Source organism: Homo sapiens, chromosome 12 (assembly GCF_000001405.40).
Source record: "Homo sapiens chromosome 12, GRCh38.p14 Primary Assembly".
Lineage (NCBI taxonomy): Eukaryota > Metazoa > Chordata > Mammalia > Primates > Hominidae > Homo > Homo sapiens.
The window spans coordinates 101079845-101100853 of record NC_000012.12 but is presented as its reverse complement, the minus strand read 5'-3'; the positions used below and the strand labels follow the sequence as shown (position 1 = coordinate 101100853).

The following is a 21009-nucleotide window of genomic DNA, read 5'->3' as shown; positions in this document are numbered from 1 at the left end:
TTTTCCACTATTATACTTCAGTGAATACATTTTAAAGTACATAACAAAGTGGGGAAGTTATTAAGAAAATAGCAAAAACAAAAGAACAGAAGTGAGCAGTTAGAACTCATCAGTCTGCTTGTGATACTTCTGAGATTTGTTTTGTGTTGCAAAGATACTTCAGGATTTGGAGCACTACCAAATTCTAGCCACATAAAAGGTTCTTTTTAAGCACTCAATATACCAACATTATTGTTCATTGTCTTCTTTATGGGAGAAGAATCCATTAAGGATCTCAAAGTGGTTAGTTCTCTTAATGAATTCTCTTTATTAAGTTTTATTTTTAATGTCCAAATTGATTTCTTCCCTAGGTTATATCATTCTTCCATTCTATAATTGAAACTCTAAAGACATAAGTAGATACTTAGAACATAAGCAATTTAAGAAACATTAAGCATCAATTCTACTATTCCTTTAAATTTCTAATTTGACCAGAAAGAACTGCTACCTTTAGAAGAAATGGTTCTTGCCCAGCCCTTCCCTCATTTCCACTCCTATGTTAGAGCTTAAAATGAAAGGAAATATATACATATTCAATTTAATAATGAAAGAAAATATATTCATACTTAATTTATCTAAGATATTTTATTTGCCTTTCCCTCCAGAAGACAAAAAGAATAAGAGAATAATAATGATATAAGTAACATGTACCAAGTACATAGTGAGCTAGGCATTGCTCTAAGTCATGTTCATGCATTAACTCATTTAATCCACACAAAGACTTTATGAAATGGTTCCTCTTATTATTATTCCCACTTTAGAGATGAGGAAACTGAGACAAAGAGAGATTAAGTAATTGCCCAAAGTTTCACCGTTAATAAATGATAGGGCTGGGATTTGAACCCAGATAATTTACTTCCAAAGCCCATGGTCTTAGATACGTGCTAAGAGAAATAGCTTCGGTTTGATTCCAGAGAAATCTGATTCCTTAAATGTAAGTGTAGCACAGTTTAAGCAGGACATGCCTTCCTCTCTGTTTGCCTTAGGAATCCCTACGCACTGAGGACCTTGATGATAACGGGTATATGTTTAGTTGAATATACCTGGAGATCTAAAATTTATAATTAATAAGATAAAGTAGAATATTTCCATACTCATTTCTAAGTATTCATCGAAGAGTCCATAGGCATTCATCGGCTGAAGGTTATAGTCCTTTTCCCATTGTGGGAAACTTATTTTCCTTTCAGGTCCATGTTCTTGTCGTACTTTTCTTCTAGTCCACCAATTCTGAATTAACCTGGGCAAAAAGATCAATTTCTTACAAAAAATGTAACTGATCATATGACTTAGGTAATAAGAAAAAGGAGAGTTTGAATACAGAAACAATAGTTTGAAAAAATTCAGGACAGGCTATCAAAGAAATAAAGCCTCAGGTTAGGAAGAAAATAACAATGGAGTCTATACTTCAAGTATTTATATTTGCAAGTAAACAGAATGATTGATGAACTTGTTTTAATCATTCATGAAACTGTCTCATGTTGGGCATTGCCTATGAGGGTTGAATAGAGGACTGAGAATATCTATAAATGGATACCCCAGTACAAAGGCAACACCAAGATATCTTGAGGAATATCTGGCTTAAGTGGCTTGATTTAGGACCCTTGAGCAGTCTTGCTACATGGGTGCTGAGCTGTATACTCTGACATCAGGGGCCTAAAGATCTGCAAACCCACAAAATGCTTCCTCTCTTGGCACACAAACACCTGCAGTTCTACAACTGGACTTGTTTGCTTTTGGCATGAGCTCTCCACAGGGACTCTGACTCCCAGTAAAATGCACCCGGCATTGGTAAGGTTAGCACAGGAACCCTTAGCAGTGTTCAGGAGTGCATTTTGTAATATGAGAAAGCATTGAGGAAATGACAGATTGGAGGCAGGTCTGTGTTCTGTACAGGACAAGGAAAAAGTTGAAGGATATCCAGGAGTAGAAGGGCCAAAAAACAAAACACATGGGAAATGAAGCAAATAAAGGAATGAACATCAAAGACAAACTGCCTACTTTACAATTTTGCTCTATGTCCTTATTATCAGAAGATAAAATATAATTCTCTTGATGTCTATGACATTTTAATTGTGATTTATATCTTAAAGTAGAATACAACACTGATAATTTTTGTTTAATGTTTTATTTTTTAAAAGTTTTATAGAAAACATCAAATACTTGGAACAAGATTTCTAAAAATAAATCTAAGAACAGAAAATTACTGGCTTTGGTTCTGACAGAGAGCTAAGAAAAGATTTTCTGAAGTGAACCAAGTTCCCACTAATCGTTCTGGCTGAGTGGTCCTCCCTGAAACCTTGAGTTTTCTTTGTCTCTACAGAGACATTGAGCTGACATGGAAACCAATAGGTGTGGAATTAAAGCAGAATAGAAGCATTGTTGATTTATGTCCCCATTAAAACTTAACTGACCATAACTGAGCAAACACAGCAGAATTCAAGGTCATCCTTACCAAGTTGATGCAAGGTTTTGCTCATTGTTGTCAACATCTTATCACCAGCCTTACCATGAGGATGGGAGAGTGGAGATGTAGTTAATGTGTCATACATAGCTAAGGACTTGCAATGCTGGAGCCCGAAAGGTCAGAGGTATTTAAAGTGGCTCACAAGCAAGTATCCAATATTTAGGGGCCTAAAGAGTCTCCTTAAAGAATATTCACGTTTGTTCATGTGAATTGTGCTAAATCTCCCAGAAGAGCCAATGTTTATGATTTTCATGGCTGCCTTTGGATGTCTAAATGTGAGCACTTAGTTCCAGGTGCACGCACTGGCTTAACTGCTGAGTCTGCATTGCTTATCTTACTTGCCACACCTAGAAAAGCCAATAATGAGCAATGCTGCCTCTCAATTATTGATACTAAGGTACTTACGGGTAGCCAAGTTCCATGAAATTATTCCAGGTCTGCTTTAGCACCATTATAATACCCATTTGCATACACAGATCAATAAGGCATCCACTAGGGTGGCACTGCAAGGTAAGCAAACACAGAAATTCCAGAATCAATGGAGAGGAAGAAAGGGTGTCTGGTTTATAATCTACACAAAGTTGCCCTAAGGCTGTTTAATGCAAGTCTGTCGGAAACAAGGAATGATGGGAGAATACAGACCTCTTCTAGTCTCCACCTGTTTATCAGCCTCAAGTAGGCACCTGGGTGTCCTGTAAATCTTCAACACACAGAGAAAAACAAGCCATTAGTGCTCTAGGTCCAAGCTTTCAGCGAATATTACATTTAGTTTAGCACATTCTCCAATGTGAATGACTGCTACTATAAGTAGTAGGTCTGGGGGAATTAGGAAACCCTCCAGATCTGTCATAACCATAGCTTCTGGAATTCTCCAGGGCACATGTCTCTTCTGGCCTTTCTGTCAGGCTGCCTAAAGCAGAAGCCAGTTCTTGCTGCTTGCTGTGGACTTTCAACATTTTCTGCTGCATATCAATTGCTCTGACCTGTGTAAGCAGAAGTTTTACTCCTGGATTTAAACACATTTGATTTTTCTGAGTAATAGTCATGCTGTTAAAAAAATTATTGAACTATTTGCCTAGAATTTTGTGCTGCTGGAATAGCTAGAAATGAAGGAGAGACTGCTGTGTTGATCTCACCAAAACCCTATACCTGGTCCTTCCCAGGTTCCCATCTCCTCTGAAATGCCTCCAGATGTAAGGGAATTCATGCGACATTACCACTACCCAGGGAATCTTTCCCAAATCCTCATAACTGCTGGATTTAAAAGTTACCCAGCATCCTCTGTATCCCATTTTTGCCCCCTTTCCTGTCAGGATGTCCTTCCCTTTTAAGTGAAGTCAGGAATCCAGGACATGCTACAGCCCCCTCCCCGTTGTACCACCTGCCGTCATAGGTGGGAAAGCCAGGGGCCTGATTCAGGTGCAGACAGAGGCCAGAAGTTTTCAATGCATCACTCACATGCACAAACTATTTTCCTCTGCTTATCTTAGCAACAAAAGGTGCACAGACAGTTTTGAGTGGAGATGATTTCCCTGGGATGCCAGGTGGTTTTGAGATTTGGGAAGAGAAGGGAGGAGGATGCTCTTCCCTTTTTACACTTTGTATAAATCACCCTAAGGGAGGGCTTCTCTGTCCCCACGAGTCAGTGCCTTCTAAGTGTTCTGTCCTCAGCTTGGGGAGGTGTGCAGGGGTCAGGTTCTTACCTTCCGAGGAAGAATGCGATGTAAAATGTGGAGCTGTTCAGATTGACAAACTGAAAAAGAAACATTTTCAGGGTGAAGCTGTTCTCCCACTCAGACTCTGTGCGAGGCTGTTCTGTGGACAAAAGGTGAGCAGAGTTTGAAAGGCTGAATCTCATCCCCTCTCAACTCCCTCTCTTTCCCTCCCCACACACACAGGGTGGGGACGCAGGAGTCCTGAGGAGGCTGCAGGAGACTCCAGTTTACCCACGGATGGCGTGTGGTGGAACAGACCACTCATAGGATCCTCAAGCTCACAGACCAGACCCAACAAGGGTCTCATGAGAAGTGGCTATGGAAGAATCTGATAGAATTGAATACCTAGACTGTTCCACTCTTACAGGATACCTGGAGAGCCAGCAGCATAGACAGCCAGGCTGTCGAGGCCTCATTCCCAGTCGTGGCTCTCTGCAGTAGCCTTTTCTTTTCCTCTTAATCTATGCAGGCTTAGTTCCTCCCAGCTCCAAAGAGTTCCTTGGTCTCAACTTCTAGTTCTCATATTATACCAACCTACTGCTTAAGAGGGAGTCAAATGCCTATCATAGAAGGCTAAGAGCATTTGACTCATTTGCTTTTACCCTTATCCCCCATTTTCCATTCTCATGGACAAATATCAAGGAGGTGGCATCATCTTTAGAGGTTTTAATTCATATCACCATCTGTGTCTTATAATTTCCTGACCTCAGTCAGGGGCCAATCTCATCTCCATATATTTCAACTTCCATAAAGCAAATGTTCTCTGGACATAATGGTGTGAACCAAAACATGGATCCATTTGCCCTTAAGATCAAATCTCCAGCTAGAGATCTCATGTCGAATGAATTTATCCTTTCACAGGAGCTACATTCTATGAGCAAGCAATGTCTAATGAAATGTATTTAATACAGTAGCATTTTGTCTGCTTCCACATTCCCTGAGTGTCTGATTTCTCATTTAATACTTCATTTAATCAATTCATTTCCACAAATTATAACTCAAAATGCTTTTAGGGAGCATGTCTGAGAAGGGAAGGGAGAATGAAAGTAAATCTGATTTAAAATGGTTTAAAATGTCAGTTTTAGGACAAGGCCATACTGTTGCGGAGGGCCAAAAAGACACAGGATTCTTAAAGGGTTTTCTTAAAGGGTTTCACTTCTGCTACTGAACTCCTGGTTACATGGAAAGGTCTCCTGGTCACCAGCTAGGTTCCCAGGTGTCCCCACCGTGGATGGACCAGGACTGTACCTCCAATGGCATTTCTGCTAGCCTGGATCAAGCTACCACAGGGTACATTGTCTACCAATGGGCAGTTACCTCTTCCATGGACATAAACCTCTTCTATCTTTTTGGGCAAGAACTGGTGGTGATGGAAGATTTCAATGACATTAAAAGAGATAAGGTAAAGTGCCTAGCTCTGTATCCAGCTCATAGAAAGTTTCAGTAAATGCTATCTGTTGTCAGAATGATGAATAAAAATAGGAACACTTTTGTGAGTTTTTTCTCCTCTGGACAAGCTTCTTATGGAATGCATTAAAGCAAGTTGTGGACGGGAGCATGTAATTTTCTCAAACTGCATGGAGCACAATGACCAATACCTTGTTAATAAAATTGGGACAATTTCTTTATTTTGAAAATGTGATAAATGTACAAGTTATTACTGGTTACCAGATTGTTCTGGAGTGCAGTGGCATGATCATGACTCACTGCAGCCTTGACCTCCTGGGCTCAGGCAATCCTCCTGCCTCAGCCTCTGGAGTAGCTGAGACTACAGGTACATGCCACCATGCCTGGCTAATTTTTTAATTTTTTTGTAGAGACAGGGTCTTGTTATTTTATCCAGGCTGGTCTTGAACTCCTGGACTCAAGGAATCCTCCTGCCAAAGCTTCCCAAAGTGCTGGGATTACAGATGTGAGCCACCATGCCTGGCCTTCCAGTCTTCAAAGAAACTAACTTTGCTGTGAGTTTATATACCATAAAAACTTGATACATTTTTAATTAAACAAAAATTATAGGCAATAGCAAATGAACACTTTCCTAAATTATACTGGATACTTTATACAAATGTACTTTTGTAATGCTATTTTTTGTGCATGAAGAGAAAATCTACCTTAAATTACATTAGCTCATGACAGATAATGTTTGTGACAGATTTTAAAGATTTATATAGAAAAATTACTAGACATATTTAAATTATTCTGTTGAAGGCAAAGAAAAAACTTGTTGTATGAATTTTAAAATAAAGGGACTATTTCTTTCCAGCAGTATTAGAGAAAGGAATCTTTGAACCATACTCTCTAGCCCACAGTACAGTTCTATGAAATAGAAAGGATTCCACTCACCTAAATTCGTCAGAAGCAGGGCAACTTTTTCATAGAGCTGTAAAATAAATTTCATGCATTTAATAAATGAACTGCACGTATTATAAAATCTATAATCACAAAGGAAATAGGGAGTCAAATCACGAGTCAAAATAATTTCATTAAGCATCCATTGCTCAACCAATGAAAACATTGTGTATAGAAATCTCAGACTCTTGGAGTCCATTGGTAATGGAGATTAGCGTAATTTTCAGGGCAAGAAAGAAATGTACAAGGTCCTATCTAACTATTTATAAAATCTCACTTCTTATTTTGGGGCGAATAATTTTATGGCAACAAGGCTAGCTGCTATTCATTACCAGCTTTCTAGGCAGTGCTGGGTAGTCATAATATTGCTGAACCTCTGCATCTTGAACGTAAAATCTCTAAGCCCGCTTCTGATGGTAAGATCCTGCAATCCTATTCTTTATGGACTGCTGTAAACTCTAGATTACAGCATTCAAAAGCACTGAAGTGATTAAACATTACTGGAAATTCCCAGAGCTTATGGTACTCCACTTTTCCATTGGTGGACCCGATGCCTCCTTAACTCACGCATCCTTAACTCACCCAGCCATCTGGTCAATAGATGGTTCTGAGGGTGGGGTACATGTATGCATGTGTGTATGTGTGTTTGTGTGTGCGTGTGTGTACCAAGGAGCAGAGAGTATAGTCTAGGGTAAATCCAGCTCTAGGAAATTCCCCAGAGTGGGTATAATTGAAACATCAAGTGCTGTTTCTAAAACAAAAGACGGTAAGTGAAAATGAAAAGGAAAAGTAGTTTAATAGACTGGAACAATATGAAGATTAAGAACACATTTAGATGAAAGTAGTAAAAACACACTGGTTAAAATTGCCCAGGCTGGAATTACAGCTTGACCATCCAGCAAGCTACAGGACTTTGGCAAGTTCCTTATCTCTTCTTCAGACCATCCTTTTCTTTATATGTGGGCAGGATGGGTATTGAACTTACTGACCTTCCTGTCCTGCTTAATTTTTGAATTCTCTTATCTGAGATTTCTGCTAATTACAGAAATAAACAACATAATCTGTATGTATGACTCCAAACTTTCAGCAACAATTATGGTTTGCTATATTAGGATATATTAATATGGCATAGGAACAAATCTTATGTCTAGAAATCTCAGACTCTTGGAGTCCAGTGGTAATGGAGATTGGTGTCATTTTCCATAAGAAACCTTGTGACATAGGTTAGTCATACCCATTTGATCATAAAAACAAAATCCTAGTAAACAACAGATAAGAACAGATGTTCTAATCAAATATATTTTAATATTACAATGTATTACGAAGGCATTATAACATTACAATTATTTAATTATGTAATTATCAGGGAAAATTAATTTGACTGATGAGACAACCTTTCTCAAAAATACAATTCTTGATTAACTGGTTTATCTTTTATGTCTTTCACAATGATGTGTAGGTCACAGTACCTCACTTTGCACACTTGTCTAAAAGGCCCTCGGAGCTGAGGATATGCCTTTGTTACATGGGTGTGAACACTGAAAACATTGTAATTTTAAAAAAAGGAACAACATAAGAGTCAACATATGAGTAATATTAACCTTGTGAAAAATAAGGTAAAGCATACAGGGACACAGTAGGGATCCATGGCATCTGTGACTACTTCATATATATGCTGAAGGATATACATATAAGGATATGGACTGTGAGACATTGGACAGGATGCAGGAGGGAAGGGCACACACACAGAGGGACTCACAGCCGCTCAGAGATCTCCACATGAGTGGTTTCTGGAAAAATGTCTGATTTCTCATTAGACGGTTGAGAGATAAACCACGGGAAGTTTGTTCTGCTAAGAGCAGTGGAAAATCTAAGTTTCCAAACTGGATGCTGCAAATTCTCATTGTGAATATCTGTAACCGGCAGAAAGCTTTCTGATCTTACAGATATGTCCAAAAGGAAGCTGTGTGTACTTCTACTTTTATCTTGCCAGGCTGATCAATAAATGTGGACTTGCTCTGATGCAAGCTATATTATCTGGTGTACTTTTACTTTTTTTTTTTTGGAAGATGAGATGTGTTTATAGTATAATTAAATATCTGATTCAGATTGGCATGGCTGGATAAAAAGGATGATAATAACTTTTTAGTCTATTCCTGGGATATAGCCTTTGTTGGCCTATTTGGCTTGCAACCACCATATTGGGATGTTTTTCGGTCACTAGTGAAGCAGAACAGAATTGAGACAATATGATCGGGAACAAGAAATTCCATCCTATTCACTTCTATTCACTCTATCTTTGAAATATTTATTTTTCAAGACACGGAATAAAATGTGAACTACTAAGTGCCCCTTAACCAGCCATTAAGAGGCATAATATTTCATTAGGACCTAGAGGGCTTTTGTAAAAATAATATAAATTTTAAAGTAAATACTATATAAAAATATTTTAGTTATTTTAGTTAGCACTGGACAAATCTAGCAAAAAGTCAGAAATGGGATATGTGATTTATAATAATTATTAAAAAATCAGAGTCTTTAATCTAGCTCTCAAGGTTTTTATATTTAGTTGATAAAAATTATTAATAATTAATGTCTAAATAATGATTACCTTTGGAAGAAAAGTATGGTCAATATGTTAAGTAGTTGAAAACAATAGACAGCTGTAAAAAATCTATATTGGGTCACGATAATATCTCACATTGAGTAATTTCAGAAGCCACTGGAGAGTTTACTTCTGAACTGGTCAAAGCTATATTACAACCTTTAGTCTGTCATCCCTTATGCTGATAGAAACGACTTAAAATTTTTTTAAGATGTTCTGATGAAACCATTCCAACTATATTACACATTTGGTTGCCCTCATAATGGTACCCACAAAACCTCAGGGGACAGGAGTGTAAATGTGTGTGCGGGGATGAGACATCATCACAGATAGCTGAGGAGGGTAAGATAACTGGCCCCTGCACAAAGAGGTCCTGGTTGATGCTGCTTTTAGAGTTCTTATGTACATTTTTTCTTTTCTTTCCCTCTCTTTGCTATGGCTTGTCATTCCCTGTTCTCATCAGTATTCTTGCGTTAGCAACCTTATGTTATTCTAGTTTGATGTTGGCTGAAAATCAGAGTACCAAAGATGTTCATGTTATATCTAAAATAAATGAAAAACCACAAGGGCATCCCTAAGAATAATATGTGTTAGCTTTCGAGTGTGAACTCTACCTCATCCATGTTGGCTAGTCTAAAACACTCTGGGAGACAAAAGATGTAAAATGCCTAGCAGCCTAGCTCCCAGCATATAGCAGGTGCTTTGTAACATCAGCAACTACGTACTTTTGCCACTCCCTATGCTCCCGTCTTCATTTTGAATTTGTTTACTTCCTCTTATCTAGGCTGTGTCTTGAAATAGATATTGCTGGATCAATGATTTCCAGTTAAATGAAGTGTTTTACTCTGACAACACTGGCACCTGCTCGAAACATATGGGCAAGTGTGTATTTACAGATTCACTTCCTGTACATAGGCATTTCTTTCTTTCTTTTTTTTTAATTTAAGTTCTAGGGTACATGTGCACAATGTGCAGGTTTGCTACATATATATACATGTGCCATGTTGGTGTGCTGCACCCGTTAACTCGTCATTTACATTAGGTATATCTCCTAATGCTATCCCTCCCGCCTCACCCACACCCCCGGCAGGCCCTGGTGTGTGATGTTCCCCACCCTGTGTCCATGTGTTCTTATTGTTCAATTCCCACCTATGAGTGAGAACATGCGGTGTTTGGTTTTCTGTCCTTGCGATAGTTTGCTCAGAATGATGGTTTCCAGCTTCATCCATGTCCCTATAAAGGACATGAACTCATCCTTTTTTATGGCTGCATAGTATTCCTTGGTGTATATGTGCCACATTTTCTTAATGCAGTCTACCATTGATGGAGATTTGGGTTGGTTCCAAGTCTTTGCTATTGTGAATAGTGCTGCAATAAACATATGTGTGCATGTGTCTTTATAGCAGCATGATTTATAATCCTTTGGGTATATGCCCAGTAATGGGATGGCTGGGCCAAATGGTATTTCTAGTTCTAGATCCTTGAGGAATCGCCACACTGTCTTCCACAATGGTTGAACTAGTTTACAGTCCCATCAACAGTGTAAAAGCTTTCCTATTTCTCCACCTCCTCTCCAGCACCTGTTGTTTCCTGACTTTTTAAGGATCACCATTCTAACTGGTGTGAGATGGTATCTCATTGTGGTTTTGATTTGCATTTCTCTGATGGCCAGTGATGGTGAGCATTTTTTCATGTGTCTGTTGGCTGCATAAATGTCTTCTTTTGAGAAGTGTCTGTTCATATCCTTTGCTCACTTTTTGATGGGGTTGTTTGTTTTTTTCTTGTAAATTTATTTAAGTTCTTTGTAGATTCTGGATATTAGCCCCTTGTCAGATGGGTAGATTGTAAAAATTTTCTCCCATTCTGTAGGTTGCCTGTTCACTCTGATGATAGTTTCTTTTGCTGTGCAGAAGCTCTTCAGTTTAATTAGATCCCATTTGTCAATTTTGGCTTTTGTTGCCATTGCTTTTGGTGTTTTAGTCATGAAGCCTTTGCCCATGCCACACAGGCATTTATTTGTTAAGAAGATGTATAAATTAAATTTTAAGACATTGGAGGAAATAGATGATAACAATATAGTAGGCATTAATTCATTGCATCCTAATGGGATGCAAAACATTTCACCTATGGCTGTTTGGTTAATTTCACTAGGAATCACTCTCTACCTACAATGTGTATTCCACAGTTAACACAGACCGAGTCCTGGTGGGGGGTCAAAAGGGGGAGGTACAGGAAGTGCTAACCATCTACTTTCAATCTCCACTTGCTAAGCTGTCGCACAAACATCACGTCAAAATGATCAGCAACTGCCCTTTTTTTTTTATTACTTCTGAGTCTTGAAACTTTTTTCCTAAAATAATAAAGATGTTTTATGTATTTTAATACTAATAATGAGCTACCTGCATTTAATTAGCTCATTGATTACTAGTTAACCTAGTGATCATAAATTAAGTTCTTTGTTATTGGGTAGGTTGAATTCTCTTAGGAATCACTCAAGTTTTATTGGTTATGGAACTCAGGATTGTTTAAAGAACTAGAAATGATAAGCTACATAGATAAACCTGTATGGATAATAGTATTAAATTAGTTGGCCTTTGGAAAATCTTTTTTCAAAGATGTAAGCATTTCAGCATTATGGCCCAGATTTAAGACGCAGTATAAATAAGGATAGGGGAACTATAATTAATTGAACATCTACTCCATGCCTAACAACTGTCCTTGGCACTCTATGTACATTGTTTTACTTATTTACACTACAAACCTTTAAGGTCAGCTTTTAAAATTTTTTTAATTTTTTACAGGTCCTTGCTCTGTTACCCAGGCTAGGGTTCAGTGGTGCAATCATGACTCACTGCAGTCGTGAACTCCTAGGCTCAAGTGATCCCCCTATCTCAGCCTCCCAAGTAGCTGAGACTACAGGTGTGCCACCTGGCTAATTAAAAAAAAATTTTGTTTGTAGAGATGGGGTGCTGGGATTACAGGCATGAGCCACAGTGCCTGGCCATATTTTTATGTATAGGTTGACCTCAGCAGCCGACCATGTCAGGCACTACTTTTGTTCTACAAAAAATAGCAACAACAATTTACACAGCATCTACTATGTGCCAGGCCCTGTTCCAGACACTAGGGAATAACAACAGTGAAAAAAAAATAAACAAACAAACAAAATAAAGAAAAGCTTCTGCCCTTATGGGCCTACATTCCAAAAGAAATGGCAGATAAACAAAATAAATAAGTAAAATATATAGCATATTAGATGGTGATAAATGCTATAGAAAAAACACAGGCAAGCAGATGGGAAATTGTCAGATAGCAGGAGTGGGCTGCAATTTAAAACAGAGTGACCAGGGAAGCATTTACTAGAGAAGTGACATTTGAACAAAGACTGGAAGGAGGTGAGGGACTAAGCGATGCAGACCCTGTGGGAGGAAAAGGCTCCAGGCAGAGAGAACAGCAAATAAAAAAAGTCCTGGGGTGAGAGCATCAAAAGGACAAGTGCGGCTGGAGCAGGTGAATCACAGTGAGTAAAAGAAAAGATGAGGTCAGAGATGTCACACAGACCAGATGAGCGAAAGCCCGTGAGGCCACTGTGTAGATGTGGCCTCGCAGGCTTTTACTGTGAGAGAGAGGAAAGCCACTACACCTTGTGAACACAGGAGCCATGTGAACTGACTTACATGTAAGAAGCTCTCTCTGGCTTCCATGTTGAGCCTAGATTGAAGGGAGCAATGTGAAAGCTGGGAGACCAGTTAGGAAGCTGCTGCAATAATCTCGGCAAGAGACACTGCAGACTTGGACCAGGGTGGGACTTCGGGATGTGCAGAAAGTGATCAAATTCTGGATACATTTAGACAGCCAGAGAAATAGAGGAGTCCAGTAGAATGCCACGACTTTTAGTCTGGGCAAGTACAATTAGGAAGGCTGTGGGAGGAGCTGATTCTGGAGGGAAGATGAGGAGTTGGGTTTGAAAGTGTTAGGTGGAGATGGTCAAGCAGGCAGTTTAACGTGTGAGTTTGGGGATTCAGGAAAGAAATCTGGGCTGAAATATGCTATCTGAAAAAGCCTGGAAATCAACAAAAGCAATATGTACCAGCTTGGCGGTTTCCTTGCAGGGTTATATCAAGGAATGCTTTGGTTTTTGTTTGTTTTTGTGTTTTTTTGAGACAGGGTCTCCCTCTGTCACCCAGGCTGAGTGCAGTGGCCCTGTCACTGCTCACTGAAGCCTTCACTTTCCTGAACCAAGTGACCTTCCCACCTCAGCCCCACAAAGCAGCTGGGACTACAGGGGCACACCACCATGACCAGCTAATTAATTTTTTTTTTTTTTGTAGAGACAAGGTCCCACTATGTTACCTAGGCTGGTCTTGAACTCCTGGGCTCAAGCGATCCTCTGGCCTCAGCATCCCAAAATGCTGGTATTATAGGCATGAGCCCCTGTACCTAGCCAGGAATGCTTTGGATACTGTCTATCTTCCTATCATTGATAATCAAAAAGAAACAGGAACCAACATTGCAATGCTGTGTCACAGGTTCTGAGTGTTCTAAATTCTTTCTCTAAATTTACTTAAGGGGTTCACAATATAATCTTATTGGATAAATAAGGGAACTAATGTTCAGAGAGGTTATGTGCTTTGCCCAATCTTATACTGCAGAAAAGCCCGGAGTCTAGATTTGAATCAAGACTTTTAAGCACTCAGACCCAAGTGCATCTTCATGCCAGGCACTTCGCTGCCAGGACATCAGTGCTATGTGAATGGCCCACCTCTCTGAGGCCAGATCCCCTTAGCAACAGAAGAAAACTGTCACTTGCAGCCCACACATTTTGATCCGTTTGGCTAGCCACTGCAGCTCACTTACCACATTCAGCAACATAATGATACAGAAGTTGATGCACACAGCAGTCCCTGTGGTTGCAACCTGAGAGTTATTCCTGATTAACGCCCACTTAAAGGCAGCGAAAGTGCTGACAGTCACCACCCGGTAAATGACGATCCCGAACACGGCAGCAATCACCACGCAGATCTGGCAGGAAGACAAGACACCCGGTGAACCTCTTGGTGGAATGTTACAGGAAGAGGATTCACATTCCTGGAACATCCTCTGATGGGAAAAGGAAGTAACACCATGGCAGTACTGCTCAAGAGATCACAATCAAATGCATACTTTTCATTGTGGTTAATACTTTCTCTTGCCTTTTTCTATTTTTTTTAATTAAAATAAAAGAACTACACGCTTGAAAGTTGAGAATCTGTGTAAGCTATGGGACAACACTTTTTAATGCAGAATATACATTGAGCAGATGGACAAATATTCATATGGAAATCCTATCATGTCACTCTTCGGTTTAAAATTGTTTATTAGTTTCCTATTATTCTAGGATAAAAGCAAAACCCTTACGCAGCCTGCAAGACCCTCTCTCTAGCCCCTTTGGGCACCATTCTTCCTTCCCTCTGGGGTCCCCACAGCTTCTCTCATTACATCAAACGGGCTAAGCACCCTTAATTGCCAAGACTATTTCCTTTGCCTGTAATACCTACCCACCCAATCTCTTGCCGAACACACACACACACACACACACACACACACACACACACACACACAGCCTAGTTAACACCTACTCATCCTTCCTCACTTCTCAGCTCAAACACCACTTCATAATAAAAGTTCTTCATGACTCCCAGACTATTTGTTTTTCGTGTTGTCATGTGGTAGCCATACCATATGGTTACATCTTTTTCAGGACACTACTTATAATTTCTAACAATCTGTTTGACTATTCTCAGGCTCCCCTACTAGAAAGTAAGCTCCATAAGGACAGGGAAGGAGTCTTTTTTGCTCACATGGTTTCTACAGCACCTTAGCATAATTACAGATGCATAGTAAGTGCTCAGTTATTTGCTGTTGAGTGAACCAACTACGTGATAGGTACATATCTTGTTAATCTGATATTCACACAGACTGAAGCATGTTTCCCTGAAGATTTCATGGCATTTGAGAACAATACAGCATATCTTCTTTCTCTATGAAATGCAGTTGTCCCTCAGTATCCTCATGACGGATTGGCCCAGAACCACCCCCCAACACCATGATACCAAAATCCACAGATGCTCAAGTCCATTCTATAAAATAGTGTAGTATTTGCATATAACCTGTACACAACCTCCTATATACTTTAAATCATCTCTAGATTACTTATAATACCTGATACAATGTAAATGTTATGTAAATAGTTATACTGTATTGTTTAGGAAATAATGACATGTAGCTGTACATGTTCAGTACAGCTACAACTAACCTTTTTTTAAAAAAAATTTCCATCTGTGGCTGGTTGAATTCATAAATGCAGAACCCACAGACACATAGGGCTGACTTTAATGCAAATCTGAGACTCCAAAAAGTTTTGTGACTTTCATTAGATGATTACCTAATATTAACATGTCTTAGAGACCTTAACCCACTTAATTATCAAAGGCTAGACCTTGAAGCCAGGCCTCAGGAAGGCCTCTGCTGATTTAGAGATTCCTTTCTTCACAAAAGTATTCCTGTTTTGCACATAATTTATTTTCTGCTTACTTTTAAGGGAGATATGTTCTAAAAGCTCAAGTACAAGTCCTAGCTCAGACTGGCCAAAATAACAATAAAATAAACAAAAACCTGTCCAGATCTTAATTGTAGTGCTGTTGATCAGGAGACAGGTAAAATCTATGCTGAAATTCAGACAAGGATGGCAATGAGGTAGGATGGACAGCTGGCTGGATTCAAAGTCAGAAGAGAGATTAGAGCCCTAGCTCAGCTATCACCCAGCAGTGTGACCTTGGGCAAGCTTGTCCTTTCCATAGCTCCAGCCTCCTGTGTTCCAAGTTCCCCATCCATAGAACAGGAAAAGCTTAATCTATGTCTATGGGTCTTTGTAAGAAACAATACAATAAATATGAATATGTACATAGAAGGCAAAGCATGACACAGTTGCTTAAAAGCAGTATCTGTAGACAGGCATGGATTTGAATCTTGGTCTGAGCCAAGGAGTCTGGGTAAGCTGCCCAGCCCTTCATCTCCCCAGTTTCTTCACTGGAAAAAGGGAGTAGCCTGTCTGAATTTGCTATAGTCTTGTCCTTCCTACTCTAATGGTCTAGGCATATATTTATATACTCATCATTTGAAAAAAGGAAAGGAGGATCCTAATCATCCTTTACTGTTCTAAAATGACATTTCAGAAACATCTGCATATGTTTTGTTCAGTAATTAACAGTGTTAAAGTTAATTACTAAGACTGCTTTTTAGGAAAAGCTAAAAACTGAGGTCTGTTTTTCAAACTGACATGATCATTAGTGAGTCAGGAAATTAATTTTAGGAGGCTAATCTGTCATTAAAAATATACTATAATAAAACAAAATCAGAGCTTATGCATATTATAAAGGTGAGCACTGTTTTACTTACACTGTTTTATACATCTACTTGCTTGGCATATTCGGGGTTATGACAGAGAATATATTTCTTACTGTATGGGCATGGTGAAAAGTTTGAAAAACACTACTGTACATCCTGTCTCACATTTTTGACTCCTTTCAGCATCACACAGTAGAATATGGCAAGAGGAAAGAATATCAGATTAGAGGGTCTCAGCTCTTAGCTACCTACTGGCTGACCTCGGGCAAGCCCCATAACCTGTTGGAGTCTCAGTTGTTCTATCTGTAATATGGGGATAGCAATACCATCCCTGACCACCAGACGAAGTTACTGTGAGGAATAAATAACAAAGTGCAAAAATATTTTGTAGAACAATGCAAATGCCCAATATGATTACTGTTATTATGCTATAGGTTTGTATTTTATGAAACAAATATTTTTTTAAAAGTTTCAAACCATAAAAAATATTCCAGATGCAGAAACGATAAGTCTGCTGCATTTATCTGTAAATGCTTGATAAGGTTCTGGCTTTCCAGAAATTGGATTCATCCGCTCTTTCTTGGAATACTTGGCTTCAAACTGGGGTCGTATTTCTTCCTAAAGGACAAGCAGACACATTTTAATGCACTAAAGAGGTGCTCACACAATAAAAAAAGAAATATCATTTTACCCCACCATAAAACAGAGTCAACAGCTGCCACACTAATTAGTCAACCAATGAAGTGGGTTTGGGTGCCCAGGCTTAAATGTTTGAAAATTGGCCACTTGAAGAAAATCTAAAGAGTGAAGATCAAGATTTACTATCATCAAAAGCAAAGAAATTTGGACTAACAGTTACATTTATCTGTTATCTTATAAAACTAACCTTGAAGAAAAAACCACCCTGAGAATGGTATTTTAAAAGGGACAAGCTGTCCTGTCCTAATGGTTTGGAACAACTAATAAGCTTTTACTTTTATTACCAGAGAGTGATAAGAAACACCAGGACAAAGAAGGCTTCTCTACAGGAAAATGTTCAAAATCCATTTTGTAAGTTATAATGACAATATAATTCTTAGTTTTCTCCAGCAATTTTTTTTTGCATTTTTAGGTTTAGTTCACTAAAAACATGGTGAATCTACTTTTTAATAAGTTCCTATAGGAGTCATTCATCTTTAACCAATAGACTTTAGGTATATTCTTAATTCTTAATTGAAAACAAGGTAAGCACCTTTCAAAACCAGTTAAAATCAAGGTTCCTCCAATTCTAAATCAAACTGAGATTTTATTTCATTTAGCTGAGCCTCCTGAATGTGAAAAGCTTCTGACTAAAAACCAATTATGAGATTAGGAAAAGGCAATCAGCAAGGGAACCTGATGTGGTTCCCGTTAATTAAGCATGCATTATGTTTGAGAGTGTTGGGAGAGGATGGCAAATGAGCAGAAACTCTGCTGAAATGGAGATTGAGTTAATCCAGGCAGAAATGGTCAAGATTCGGATGAAGGTACTGGCAGAAAGCAAGGAACGAGCTGACAGAAGAGAGGTCATGGAGAGAGAGCCCAGTTTGGCAGCAGCCTGCCCATGTAGCATGAAGGATGGCCTTCACATGGCTCAGCCTGGCTCCTGCCACTGAATTAGCCCAAGGCTGGACTTCCCTCAGGGGTAGGTCATGGGTAAGATCAGCAGGAGATACATTAGGAGCAGGCTCTGTCTTTCATTTATTTTAGGCAGTTATACTTGAGGAGATAAACATAGCAGACCTAGAATCTTCTGCTTCTTTGGGAAACTTTCAATTTATTGGGCCATAAGTGTCATCAAGAGCCCTTGAGCTAGTCATCCGAGAACTAAGGCCAATCATGGAGACAGGTCTGTGTTCCTGGATGTATCTGTCCATTTTCATACTGCTATGAAGAAATACCCAAGAATGGGTAAGTTATAAAGAAAAAGAGGGTTAATGGACAGTTCCACATGGCTGGGGAGGCCTCACAGTCATGGTGGAAGGTGAAGGAGGAGCAAAGACACATCTTACATGGTGGCAGGCAAGAGAGACCATGTGCAGGGGATGTCCCCTTTATAAAACCATCAGATCTCAAGAGACTTATTCACTATCATGAGAACAGCACAGGAAAAACCCACCCCCATGATTCAATTACCTCCCACCAGGTCCAACCCCCAACACATGGGGATTATGGGAGCTACAACTAAAGATGAGATTTGGGTGGGGACACAGCCAAACCATATCGCTGGGTGTTATAGGCCAAATTGTGTCTTGCTTCCCCCAAATTCATCTGCTGAAGTCCTAACCCGCAGTACTGAATGTGACCATATGTGGAAACAGGTTTTTTTTATAGTGGTAATTAAGTTCAAATGAGGTCATTAGGGTGGACCCTACTCCAATATGACTGGTGTCTTTATAAGAAGAGGAAATTTGGACACAGAGACACCCAGGGGGAAGACGATGTGAAGACACAGGGAGAAGATGGCCATCTATAAGCCAAGAAAAGATGCCTAGAACAGATCCTTCCCTGATGGTTCTCAGAAAGAACCAACCCTGCTGACACCTTGGCTTGGACTTCTAGCCTCCAGAACTGTGAGCATGTAAGTTTCTATTGTTGAAGCCACCCAGTCTGTGGTACTTTGTTATGGCAGCCCTGACAAACTAATGTGCGAGGTTGCCCCAGAAGGTCTGCAGCGAGTCTGGGTTTTTCTGCACAATAAGGTAGAAATCATGGGCTAGAAGTGAGGCATTTCCACAAGGAATCCCAAGCTGGGAATGGCTACGTATGTAGGCTCCTGTACAAAGGTATGCAGAGTGAGAGGACAATTCAGCACTCCACGCTTTTTATCAGGGGCTGGGAAGACAGAAGGCTCCACACTTATAAGGGATACATACGTTCCCCAGAAGGGTGCCCACATCAGGGGCCCACCACAAACGCCAACAATGATTGTAGACTGGTTTAGTCAAAGTTACTCAAATAGGGCCACACTTTACAGATAGAAGGGGAAAATTTAGTCCCACTTCTTTTCATTAGAGATTTTTAAAGTCCAAAGGTGAAGTAAATTGCCCAAGGTGATTCCCAGGAAAGAATATTTTCCATCCCACTGGGAACTGTTCCCATGAACACATATAACCAGAAACAGCAGAATGGCACCACACAAGAGGAATTTCTGAATGCAGTCCGGCTGCTACCAATAGATGTCATAGTCAGCCTGGGAAGCTTCTTCAAACCTAGAATATATATGTATACACACACACACACACATACACACACTCACATACATATATATATGTATATTTTTTTTCTAGGTTCTAGATATATATACACATATATATATATGTTTGAAAATTGGCCACTTGAAGAAAATCTATTTATATATATGTATATGTGTATGTATATATATATATATATAATATATATATATATATATCTAGAACCTAGAAAAAATATATATACACATTATTTATTTGAGACAGGGTCTCACTCTGTCACTCAGGCTGGAGTGCAGTGGTGCAATCTTGGCTCACTGCAACCTCCACCTTCTGGGTTCAAGCAATTCTTGTGCCTCAGCCTCCCAAGTAGCTGGGATCACAGCTGCATGCCACCACACCCAGCTAATTTTTGTGTTTTTAGTAGTGATGGGGTTTCACCATATTGGCCAGGCTGGTCTCGAACTCCTGGCCTGAAGACACAGGGAGAAGATGGCCATCTATAAGCTATCCTCAAATCCTCCTCCTGGCCTGAAGTGGTACCCCTTCCTTGGCCTCCCAAAGTGCTGGGATTACAGGTGTGAGCAACCGCACCTGGCCTGGAGAATATTTATAAAAACATGAAAGAAAGCCTTATCAGGAGAACAAGGATTGCTGAAAATCTCAGTGTCATGTATCAAAACCTCCTGTTGTACACCTGAAGTACATTCAAAACCAAACCAAACCAAACCAAAAAACTACCCAAACATGTTCATGGGAGAAGGGGAACAGGCAGCCATTGAGGAGGCATAGTGTGAAGGAAACAAACAACAACAACAAAAATACCTCTCAGAATTACTTCCCCCACCAAGCCTACCACAGGGCTAAAATTCACATCGTTCATATTTCTGAAAGATTCTTTTTTATACATGAAAATATATACATGTGTTCCCTTCAAGGAAAACACATATTAATAGCCATGATCAAAAAACTATTACACATATGAGTGGTTTATCTGATTTACTGGCACAGCAAGGCTCTGAGGAAATGAGACTCAGGAGGGGTAAGAGATAATGAACGAGAGGGAGGAGAGTGGGGCTGAGGCCTGGACCAACTGTCAAGGGAAGCAGGGTCCAAGAGGGGACCGTGGTGACCACGCCTAGTGTGGGTACTTCAGACTTCCGACAGGAATAGGGGCAAGAAGAGACTATTAGAACAAGACAGGTCAGGAGGAGAACAACGGACTGGCCTAGAAGACGCTAA

At 39.6% G+C, this 21009-nt stretch overlaps 1 protein-coding gene across 16 annotated transcripts in view; it reads right to left on the bottom strand.

The window, feature by feature from the left end:
- The window catches only part of ANO4 (anoctamin 4), a 411381-nt gene that overhangs the window by 27788 nt on the left and 362584 nt on the right, over window positions 1-21009 (bottom strand). For all 16 annotated transcript variants that reach the window (XM_011537912.3, XM_011537911.3, XM_047428302.1 and 13 more), the window contains 7 exons: window positions 17036-17176; window positions 14030-14194; window positions 6562-6598; window positions 4207-4318; window positions 3146-3203; window positions 2909-3006; window positions 1134-1276 (listed from right to left, as the gene is read on the bottom strand). In XM_011537912.3, the coding sequence (XP_011536214.2) occupies window positions 1134-1276; window positions 2909-3006; window positions 3146-3203; window positions 4207-4318; window positions 6562-6598; window positions 14030-14194; window positions 17036-17176 (754 nt within the window). The remainder of the gene's footprint in view (window positions 1-1133; window positions 1277-2908; window positions 3007-3145; window positions 3204-4206; window positions 4319-6561; window positions 6599-14029; window positions 14195-17035; window positions 17177-21009) is intronic.